This window comes from Homo sapiens, chromosome 2 (genome assembly GCF_000001405.40).
Source record: "Homo sapiens chromosome 2, GRCh38.p14 Primary Assembly".
NCBI classification, from domain to species: domain Eukaryota; kingdom Metazoa; phylum Chordata; class Mammalia; order Primates; family Hominidae; genus Homo; species Homo sapiens.
In genome coordinates this window covers 13,898,585-13,910,828 of record NC_000002.12, presented here as the reverse complement: position 1 = coordinate 13,910,828, position 12,244 = coordinate 13,898,585, and the positions used below count along the sequence as shown (strand labels likewise).

Sequence of the window (12,244 nt, the reverse complement as noted above, 5' to 3'; positions counted from 1 at the left end):
GGGGATCCAGTTTCAGCTTTCTACATATGGCTAGCCAGTTTTCCCAGCACCATTTATTAAATAGGGAATCCTTTCCCCATTGCTTGTTTTTCTCAGGTTTGTCAAAGATCAGATAGTTGTAGATATGTGGCGTTATTTCTGAGGACTCTGTTCTGTTCCATTGATGTATATCTCTGTTTTGGTACCAGTACCATGCTGTTTTGGTTACTGTAGCCTTGTAGTATAGTTTGAAGTCAGGTAGTGTGATGCCTCCAGCTTTGTTCTTTTGGCTTAGGATTGACTTGGCGGTGCGGGCTCTTTTTTGGTTCCATATGAACTTTAAAGTAGTTTTTTCCAATTCTGTGAAGAAAGTCATTGGTAGTTTGATGGGGATGGCATTGAATCTATAAATTACCTTGGGCAGTATGGCCATTTTCACGATATTGATTCTTCCCACCCATGAGCATGGAATGTTCTTCCATTTCTTTGTATTCTCTTTTATTTCATTGAGCAGTGGTTTGTAGTTCTCCTTGAAGAGGTCCTTTACGTCCCTTGTAAGTTGGATTCCTAAGTATTTTATTCTCTTTGAAGCAATTGTGAATGGGAGTTCACTCATGATTTGGCTCTCTGTTTGTCTGTTATTGGTGTATAAGAATGCTTGTAATTTTTGTACATTGATTTTGTATCCTGAGACTTTGCCGAAGTTGCTTATCAGCTTAAGGAGATTTTGGGCTGAGACAATGGGGTTTTCTAGATATACAATCATGTCATCTGCAAACAGGGACAATTTGACTTCCTCTTTTCCTAATTGAATACCCTTTCTTTCCTTCTCCTGCCTAATTGCCCTGGCCAGAACTTCCAACACTATGTTGAATAGGAGTGGTGAGAGAGGGCATAGCAGGCATGTCTTACATGACTGGAGATAGAGGAAGAGAGAAAAAGGGGAGGTGCTATGTACTTTTAAACAACTAGATGTCATGAGAACTCACTCACTGTCATGAGAAGAGCAAGGGGGAAATCCTCCTCCATGATCCAATCACTTCCCACCAGGTACCTCTCTAAAACTGGGGATCACAATTCAACATGAGATTTGGGCAGGGACACAAATCCAATCCATATTAGCAAGACATTTTTGTTTTAACATTATCATTATAAAATATATTTTTCTTCTTGCTATAACAGAAAACAAGCTCAGAGAAGCTTACTATTGTCCATGGTCACAAAGCTATTCATAGACCCAGTACTCAATCCCAGGATTGTCTACCTATTTGAGGGCTCATGTCACAATGCTACCTACGATGTTAACTGTACTAGATTGGTATATATTGAATGCAGTGGTATATATAATAGAGTTGGGAAGTTGATATTAATATTCTTGTTTAGAATCTAAAATTCAGATCCAATGCTGTACTAGGTAGTCCTAATTATGTCAGATAAATATAATCCCTCTTTTTACTCAACGGGATTAAAATCTAACTAGGGAGGAGTTGGTATAAAACTTAAGTCATGAAATAAGTAAATGAAGACATAAGATGGAATGTACTTATGTAACTAAGTGTTCGTAACAGGCTGTGATATAGTTGGGAAATCCAAAACAAAATACATTTGAGACAGTCAGTATGTTGGGATGACTTTCTATATCCTGTATAACATAAGCAGAACCTTAAAGGACTCAAGTGATTATAATTGAAGCAGCCTTACCCACACATTTTCTTAATGCATGTTTGTTAAATCATAGGATGATAAAAAGTATGGCTGGTAAAACACATTAACAATTATAAAATGTATTTAGTTCTTACTACATGACAAACACTTTGCATTCATTTTCACTAATACTCAAATCTACCCTGTTGGAAACTGCAAAAAAAAAAAAAAAAAAAGTGAAGAGTTTGTGACCACAAACTTTTTGAGGCTGCTCCTGTGAAGAAAATGAGTTTATTTTCCCACCTCATTTCTGCTTGGTCCTATGACTTACTTCAGCCTACGGGATTTTAGCAACCCTAATGGAAGCAGGTTGCTAAGAAGTGCTTGCACATTAAGGCTGACTCGCTTTTGCTTCTGGGAACTTTTCTATCATAAGTATAACCTTAAGCTAACTCCCGGAGTGACAGCCCATGAAAACAAGGAGTTCAGCTTTCCCAGACACCCCAGCAGAGGCCAGAGATGTGTGACTGAGAACATTCTAAGTCATCCAAGCCCAAACTAACTAACCCAGACTAGAGAAACCACACGGTTTACCCACAGAGAAAAAGTGTATTAAATAATCGTTGTTTTAAGCCATTAACTTATAGAATGATTTTCTTTGCAGCAATATTAACTGATAAATTAATTGTAATCCTAGTTGTACACTATGAATTATCCTAATTCACCAGATAAAGCAGCTGGATTCCATGTTATTGCAGTGACTTGCTCAATGTTTCTCAGCTAGAAAGAAGAAACCACTGAATTTCAAAATCACAGTTGTTTCCAGAGAAAAGTTTTTCTCAGTTGTTTACACATCGTTGACTACACTCTGGTCCTTCTAGTGATCCAAAGTGTAGCATAGAAGATTCAGCCTTTGTGACATCTTCAGTTAGTCAGTTGCATCTGGAGCTCTCCCATTCTACTCGGGGGCCTACCAAACAATGAAGGGAAGGGTATTTAGATTAAAAATTACCGTAATAGATTTATTTAGTGTGTTGGTTTTCTCAAATGCTGGTTATGCTAGCAGTGAAGTTGTCAAAAAATACACAATAATGTAAGTGCTTTAATATAATCATTCACAATGTGCTTTGTTAAAATCTAGTGAAATTCAATAAATAATTTTAAAGCCCAGTAGAAATTATTTCATCTAAAATGCTTTTATTAACACACAAAATTGATCTTTGAATGATGCATTGTAAGAAAATAGAAAAGAAAAAAAATTGACTCCTAGAGATGTTTAAAAGCAGAGTAAAGACAGCACTTTAGCATTTTTAAATATTGATGTAAACAGTCAGTGGTTATATTCCCCTTCTTTCCTACTGAGTAGTAAGTAAAGCTCAAACTTAGAATTGACAGAGATTTGTTGTTCTTATTGATGGAAGGTCCAATGTTAGATTTATTAATTTATAAGTTCAAAACACACCAGAGATCTAAACTTCAGTAATTTCGATAAAAATATATGGCTATGGATAAGAGTACTGTGAGCCTTCTTAATGGGCCCACCACTACTAAATCTGTATGCTTTCTTAGACTGTCATTACATTTTCTGAACATCAGTTTCTTTTTTTTTGTATTTAATACATTGTCAATAAGTCTTAAAAAAGCTGTAAGTGCAAACATTTGTACTTTTCCATTAAAATATAATAGATTAATATTTAAATGTTGTTTTGCTTCTAAACGCCACTGTCCTTGTGTGGTCACAGTTCTGCATCCCGCAGACACTTCCTGTGAAATGGCCACTGCTAACACATCTGCATGACTCAGAGGGGGAAAACTGCATTCTCTAATAGTCAAAAGTTTGAATGAAAATATGATGTAGGCATACAAATCTAATAAATGCTTTCATATACTCCTAGAAATGGTCACTCTTGAAGCCCGTTTGTGTAATTTGTGATCTGGAGATCACAGAATCTCTAGCTCCTTCTCTGTCTCTTGATGTTACCAATTTGAAAAGACCTACCTCCAGGCATACTCCTGACATCTCCATATTGCTAGGAAGGAGTCTAAGCCTTATAGATGTATAGTTGACAGGGAGAGAAAAATAAATCTTTTTCTTCTTTTGCCCTACCTCACTATGAACTTCTTCACAGAGTGATTGCTAGTTGAAGTCTTGTTGCTAGGAAAAACCTTATCATGTCTTAGGGTGCATGTGCCAGCCTCACAGATACTAAGACAATTTCAACATGTGACAGTACACTTTCCGTGGCTGGTCTTCAATTTAAGGCACTACCCCATGTTTAGTAGCAAAACTTGTTTAACGTTATGCTGCATAAGGGAGAGTACTTTTTTTATAGTCTGTCTTTCAGTATATGTACGGAAAGGCCCTCCTGTCAAAATCCGATAACCTGAGAGCAACAGCTTGAGCAAAACACAAACACATAGACACGAACACACACACACACACACACCATATGATCACAATACATATACCAAGTTTCCCAATGTAAACAGTAATCTTCAGGATTAGAAATATTGTCATCATTTTCATTTAGCAATGTATCTGCTTCTCTAGGGCATTATTCTCTTTGTATCTCCTTTTCATATGGAGACAGTAAGTGAAGACAGTAAGTGCCATATTGCCCAGGAAGAAATCTTTATTCTATGATTTATTCATTATATGAATTTGGATGTATTACTTAAACTTTTGTGCCTCATTATATAACTTATAGTTTTGTAATGAGGACTAAATGAAATAAGGCACACGGAAAATGAAATGTCAATGCCTCACAGAGTGACTGTTAACTTTTAAACAAATTAAGTAAAATAAATATTAATTCACATTTGTTTAAATTAATGATTACCTATGTAAAAGACAGCATTAGTTTGTGCTCATTAAATAAATTTATGCATGTTTATTCAACATTTACTATGAGACAGAGTTGCTTCTTTTATTTTTGATGACATTTGAAATTTGAGTATGAGAATGCACAGTAATGTTTTCCTCTCACATTTGTAATTCTTCAAGATGAATTCGAGGGACAAAAATACTTACTTAAATTTTACTTCTCTGTTCAGTAACTGAATAATTTAGTTTCTGATGTGTCTTGCACTTTAGTCACATCTGATCACTTTCCTCAAAAATATGTTCTTACTGTTGTTGGCTGCAGATTCTAAGACAGCTGTGGCCAACTCACTTGTCAACACAATTTTAAGCTAAGTTTATATTTCAAGTGTTTAATTGCTTATGATGTTAGGAGGTGCCAAGAGAACACTATTGATTTCCAGATTGCAGACTGTAAGTGATAAAATTTGCGCCTCAAAAAAAAAATCATCTGACTCTAAATTATGTAAATGTAGTAGGAAACCTGTAACAGAAAATCAGAATTTTAAAAATATCATTATCATTATACTTGTAATCTTCACTATATTTTCAAAGCATATTTAAAATAAAATTTCATGAATATTCTGTGGTACTGTGCCCACATCTTTATTAAACTCAGGGTGCTCACTGTGTGTCACACATTCTTATGTTATAAATTGACAGTTAGTTACACAACAGATATTAGACATGGAGTTATGGCAATGGAGACCTCTACCTCAGTGACTTCAGGTGTCATTGGATCTGAATAATCACTTAAGAAGGTTATTATAACAAATTTTACCAAGTCTTATCCAAATACACTTGATGTGTATTTCAAAATTCATATTGTGACAAGATAAATCTATTGGGACTTTGGAGAAAAAAGGCATGACTAAAGTGTATTAACTTTCTTGATTTGCAAATTATATAACACAATTCACATTTGGTAGTTACTGGTCACTTAGTATAAATGTAGGGAACAAAATTTTTCATAAATAAATAAACTAACATTTAAAGAAATAATCTTTATGCATCATCTTGTTAATTTTCACAACAGTTCTATTTGGTTTATATTGCTATCTCAATATTACAGATTGAGAAACAGTGGCTCAAAATAAAAACTAACTTTCCTAATATCTCTCACACACAGAATTTCTATGTCTGGCAAAATCATTGACAAAATAACTTGAAAACCCCTGCTGCAAATACCTAGAAACACTAGATAAAATGCAAAGAACAATCTTTTAAAAATATAGATAATTTCACAACAATTTCACAAAAGGGTGTGAAACAAAGAGAATGTTGTAATTTTTAAAAAAGATACCACAGCTTTCCAAGGAGAGCAAAACACATATGTATATTTCCAGGTTGCAGATTGGAAGTGATGCATACACACACACACACATACACACAAACATATAGCTGGGACTATAGCTGAGGTGCATAAGGTCTCCTCCGCATGGTTTCTCTTTATAAATAGCTTGAGTATTCTTACAAACTGGCAGTCTCAAGGCAATGGTCCTAAAGTAAGCATTTGAAGACCATCAACATGCATTCAAAAATCTTTTAAAACATACCTTCAAAAGCCTGAAATTATGAATTCTGCCAATTTCAGTAGTCAAACCAAGTCACAGATCCAATTCAAACATAAGCAGATGAAAAATAGGATCTACTTTTTAATGGGAAAAGTAATAAGGCTTTATTTTTAAACAATTACAGTTAAGCTCTCAATACATTACACTCTTCTGATTTCTCTCCTTCATTGGCCGTTCATTCTTAGACATTTTTGCTGGTTCATTTGACCTCCTTGACATTTTAATGTTGATTTGTTATAGGAATGAATGCTTGAAAAAATTTCTTTTCTGTCTACACGTACTATTTTAAAATCATATTTATTCTATTGACTTTAATTAATATTTTATGCTGGTGACTTTCAAATTTATATCTCAGTTAAGACAGCTCATGTACACAATAAATTTATGAACCTAGCTTTTCACCTGATATCTTACTTGGATTTTCAGTAGCAAAATAAACAAATTAGATACTAATATAGCAAATTAAAATTTGTGGCATGAAGCTAAGAAAGTGTTTAGCAGGAAATCTGTAGCCTTGAATAATACAGACTAAAAATCAATTACTTAACTATATGTCGAAAATCTAAAAAAAACCAACAATAAATCAAATGTTAAGACTAGAAAGAAACAATAAATCAGATGATAGTAGAAATCAATAAAATAGAAAACCAAAATTTAACTGAGGAAGCAACACAGTCAAAAGTTAATTATTTGAAAAATTAATAAAAGTATAACCCTCAAGCAACACTAATGGATAAAAAGGAAAAAAAGAAAAAAGAGAGAAAAAAGAAAAAGAAAAAAGTTTCTATAAGAAAAGAAAAAGTGACATTATTACAAATCATACAGACGTGAGAAAGAGGATACTGTAAAACAAACAAGGTAGCTAAAAGTATCTAAACAATTTAGGTGTGTTTAGCAAGGTCACAGAAAATAAAGTCAATATACAAAATCCAGCTATATCCTTATATGCCAGAAATAAAAATAGATAATTAAAAATAATATACCATTTACAATGACATTAAAACCTATGGAATACTTTATTTGTATAATGCTAACAAAATATGTCTAAACATTTTTGGCATAAAGTAACATAACATTAATAAAAGAAATCAGTGAAGATCTAAATAAATGGAGATACATATCATGTTCATGGATTGGAAGACAACATAGTATGTCAGTTTTTCTCATTTATTCTATAGATTCTGTGAAATCATATTCAAAATTACAGAACACTTTTTTTTAGTTATAAAAATTTTGATTTTAAAATGTACATGGAATAGCATCAGTAGTGGAATAGCCAAAATAATTCTTAGGAGTAAGATTTTAGAGACTCACATTATCTGATTTAATAAATGACTGCAAAGCTAAAACAGTCAAGACAGTGATATTGGACAAATGAGAGACATATAGAGCAAAGAATAGTGATAGAGAACCCAGAAATAGGTAAACAAACAAGACAAAGAATTTTCCAAATGTATAAGAGCAATTGAATAGAGGAAGAATTCTTTCAGCAAGAGGTATAGAAACAATTTGATAATTTTTTTTTAAAAAAGGGAAACAAAGAAACTCCACACATAACCTACATCTTAGTGTTGAAAAAAAGTGATTCATAAAACTAAGTATAATTGATGCTGGTGTAAAAGGGTGAGTTCTGCCTCTCTTACCTTCTCCAGTCCTTTTGCTGTCTGGCACGTGAGGGACTGTGTTCTCCCTGCTGAAGGATGCAGTGCTCAAGGCACCATCTCAGAAGTTGGAACAAGCCGTTACCAGACACCAAACCTGTCGGTGCCTTAATATTGGTTTTTGAAGCCAACAAAACTATAGGAAATAAATCTGTTCTTTATAAACTACCCAAATGTTCAGTATTCTATTATAGCAGCACAAAAATGAAGACACCCACTGAGACAAAGGCAGAAAGTTTATGCTTCATAGAAAATTGTTCAAAGTTGCCAAGTTTAGGGAGAGGGTACTATTTCAATACTGAAGATTAAGTAAAAGTGAATATACTGTGCAAAGAGCTTGAGATCCCCAGAAACAGACACTGGAATGAGAGTAACATCAGAGTTTCGGTGAGTAAAACTTTAAGGAGATCACCTATTAGCAGAGACCAGAGGGAAGACAAAGACACACCAGAACTTCCATTTAACTTTCAGAAATCCCGCCTTGCATATGAGGAAATAGCGAAAGATTATCAAGTTCTAATAAAAAATGACATAAAACACACCCAAACCACAATAAAATAAAAAATAAAATCTCATTGAAATAATGAGTTACCATTAAAAAACACAATTTAAAAATATGCAGTTTACATAGAGCAAAGGGTTTAAGTAAAAAATAACGAGAAAGAATTATTTTAATTTAAGAATGTATAACAGACAGGAAAAATTCAAGAACAGCCAGTTTTGACTAAAGACAATGAGAAGGCTCTAGTCGGAAGATAAAATTAATAGAACACGTAATGGGATTGGAAGAGTAGAGAGAGATTTACATAATTGGAGTTCAATTTAAAGTAAATATAGGATGACTGCTAAAGCTAAGAAAATAAAAAAACAATATCAGCAAAAGCTATCACAACTAAGAATCAGCATAAAATTGTGGTTAAGCACACAAGTGGATTCTGGAGCTGAATTCTTGTGTTCCAATACCGTTATACCATTTTCTAGCTGTGTGATTTTGGACAATTAATAAAGACTTATTTTCTTCATCTATGAGGTACACATAAAAATATAACAATACCACCTCATATAATTGTTATGAGGGTTAAATGAATAATTATATATTCAGCTACTAAAAGTGCTAGGGGAAAACTAAAAGTTTGAAAAAATAGTAAGCAAAATACAATGTACCTAATAGAGTAATAAGAATTCAATATAGTTTTAAATATATGTTATAACTACATTTGAAAGTTGAACTGGAGTGTCTGTTTGTCTGTGTAATTGTCTGAGACAGAGAATAACATTAGGTAAGAAAACATAAGTTCAGTTATCATCTTCTATGCTACAAAGTTCATAGATAAGGGCTAAAACTGAAAAATCAATAAGTGGTTATATAAGCACGCCATTTATCAAGATGGAGGTAACACTAACAGAATGAGTTCAAACAGTCAAATATATTTGATTCTGTACAGAGTTCAATGGTTAGGATCTGCAGTATTGTATTAGCTTTGCAGGATGAAATGACTCTTTAAACTTATGTGTTACTTTGATGGAAAGTTAAACCATATTTAAAAATTAGTATTGCCATGAATGTATGCATACATTCACATGCTTGCTAATGTTTTTATGTCTTTGCCTATTGCTTTTTCTCTACCTGTAATGTCCAATATCTGCTATGTTTTATCTGGCTTTTTTCATCAGTAAACATGGGTCAACTAATATTCTGGGGTAGGAGATCATTACTGACCTACTCACGTAGATTCGATCGCTCATTTATCTGTGTCTTCACTGAAGTGTGAGCATTCCTCCCTAGTACACTGCATTGAATATCAATTATGTGCCTGCTTTCATTTCTAGGCTGGATGCTCACAATAAGAACTGTTTTTTAATTGGCTCTGTATTTTAGACTTCAATACAAAACATAGCAAGTACCGAACAATTAGTTTTCAACCAAACTGAAGTGAGTTAATACCGTGGACTGAGGTCCTTGGAGAGGTATGGTGTCCAATGAAGGGTACGCCATACTATTTCCTGGTTCATTCCTTATAATGGATGTCTTAGTCTCCTCAGGCTGCTATGACAAAACACCACAAACTGGGCAGCTTAAGGCCTTACCTTAAAAAACCCTCACATTGGGGGCCATGGCTTCAGTGGATGCATTTGCAGGAGATACACAGATTCAGCCCTTAATGGGAAAAGGCGTTAACTTTGAATTAAAAGTCTGTATGTTATTAATTGGTTATGGGTATCTGGCGTACCCAATATGCCAGCATCTGCCACTAGTCATAGAATTCCTGAAAACTGCTCCACATTTTCCTGAGAGGTGAAATCTTTCTCCTCACTCTCATCTGCCTTTACAAGGGCACACACACACACAAGCGCACACAGACACACACACACACACACACACACACTATCTACATGGTTACCGTGAATGTTAGCGTGTTAAATTATGATAACTCATGTTCATGGCACAATATTGCCTTAGTTGAATGGTTCATAGACATAATTCTGACACAATAGGTATTCCTCCTTTGGAATTTTGGAACTTAAACTGAGGGAGGAGATTAGTTTTTCTAGGACTGCCTGAAGGTTATATTGCCTGAAATTCAGAAGTTTCTATCAGTCATGTTCCATACTGCCAGAGATAGAGAAGTGTAGAAAGTCCATTTTAAGATGGAGAATAAAGAACAAAACAGATGCATGAAGCAGAAAAATAAGGAGAACAGAGAAAAATTTCCGTTTCCATTTATTCCTAGAACTGTGTTCTCAGTCCTAGGTTTCTTCACACACCTTAGTGTGATTCCTTTTTTGATTTAAGTTGTTTTAAATTCGATTTATGGTATTTGTAACCAAAATACTACTAACAAATGCAAAATTACTGAAGAAAGAATTACACATGATAATTTGGAAAAGTATAACCAGATAAGTTATGTTAGAGATAAGGAATTTAGGAGCTGGCTTTTTAAAATAATTATATATTGCTTCTGAAGAACATTTGTATGCTAGTCTCTGTTGTTGTTGTTTTTTTTTTGCATCCATTTTCTGAAATTCATCAGAATACTTTTAACATATATTAACTTGGCCTAAGTTATAATAAAAGTTATTATGGATTAATCAGCTCTAAAATTTGGATTGAGTGGCAAAGGAAACATTTGAATGAGACACCAGAGTGTGTTGGCAGTGGTGATAAATAGTAGAAAAAATTATGATCAACTGTGGAACAATCACAAATAGATACCACCAGCTAAAGCATAATAAAATGGCCCGATGGGGAAGTTGTACCAGTGGATATTGAGGGACCTGAATATTCTTAAAAATATCTGAGGGAAAGTTTGGAATAAGCAAATGTCTGAGATTTGTCAGCTGAAATTATAGCTTTAAAATATGATTATTTTAGCCTTAGTATGGTACAGACTAATTTACTTCTAAGTATCTAAAATTATATATAAAATTTATTTGGGCAGGGTAGACACGAATATGTGCTCAGAATATGGTAACTAGCAGTAATTAAAGAGTGTAAACTGAAATAATATTGATGAGGAGATTTAAAGAAAACTGAGAAAAGTCAGCTGACTTGAATTAGTTTTCTATTGCTACTTAATAAATTACCATCAACTTATTGGTATAAAAGAGTAATTTATTATCTCACAGTTTCTGTTGGTCAGGATTCCAGGCATCGTTTGACTGGGTTCTCAGTGCAGATCTCCTAAAGTTGAAATCCAGGTGATAGTCACGGCTGTGGTTCTCATTTGGAACTTGAAGTCCTCATTAAAGTTCATTGTGGTTGTTGGCTGCATTCAGTTCCTTGTGCCTGTTTTTGTAGGACTAAGGTGGGTTTTGTTGTTGTTGTTATTCTTTTTTATTTTTAATGCCAGCTCTCAGTCATAGACTGCTCTCAGCTCCTTGAGTCCTCATAGTTTAAAACAGCATAGTTTGTTTCTTCATGGAGAATGGTCAGAGTGTGTTTCCCTGATGCTTCAACATTGTGATGCTCTTCACGTCCTTTGAACATTTATCATGTCACAAACAATGCTTACTTCCACTAATTGGCTAACAGGTTTCCGATAGAATGTAGTTTTGGCAGTAATAGTGTATGATTTATCTTTGTGTGTGCTTTGTTCATGAATATCTTAGACTTTAAGGACATTAATTAATATTTAGAAGAAAGGAGAGAAGGAATAAAAAAATTAAAGAAGGAGAGCCAGGATTTATTATGACATTAATAGTAATGTATTGAAGTTAATTATATATCTACACTAAATAACAAAGTAAGATATTCTTAGTGTTGTCCATAAGTAGTTATAGTACTGTATTAGTCTGTTCTCAAGCTGCTATAAAGAACTGCCCAAGACTGGATAGTTTATAAAGGGAAGAGGTTTAATTGACTCAGTTTCCCATGGCTGGAGAGGCCTCAGGAAACTTACAGTCATGGTGGAAGGGGAAGCAGTCACCTTCTTCACAAGGCAGCAGGAGAGAGTGTCAGCGTGGGAAGGAGGAACTTTCAAACATTTATAAAAACCATCAGATATCATAAGAACTCACTCACTATC

At 33.9% G+C, this 12,244-nt stretch overlaps 1 long non-coding RNA gene across 1 annotated transcript in view; it reads right to left on the bottom strand.

Annotated features, from left to right (window-relative positions):
* Positions 1-1,127: 1,127 nt before the first annotated feature.
* Positions 1,128-12,244, bottom strand: part of LOC107985854 (uncharacterized) — a 71,840-nt gene continuing 60,723 nt past the window's right edge. The window contains exon 3 of the long non-coding RNA XR_001739296.1: positions 1,128-2,593. This is a non-coding gene — a long non-coding RNA (uncharacterized LOC107985854). The remainder of the gene's footprint in view (positions 2,594-12,244) is intronic.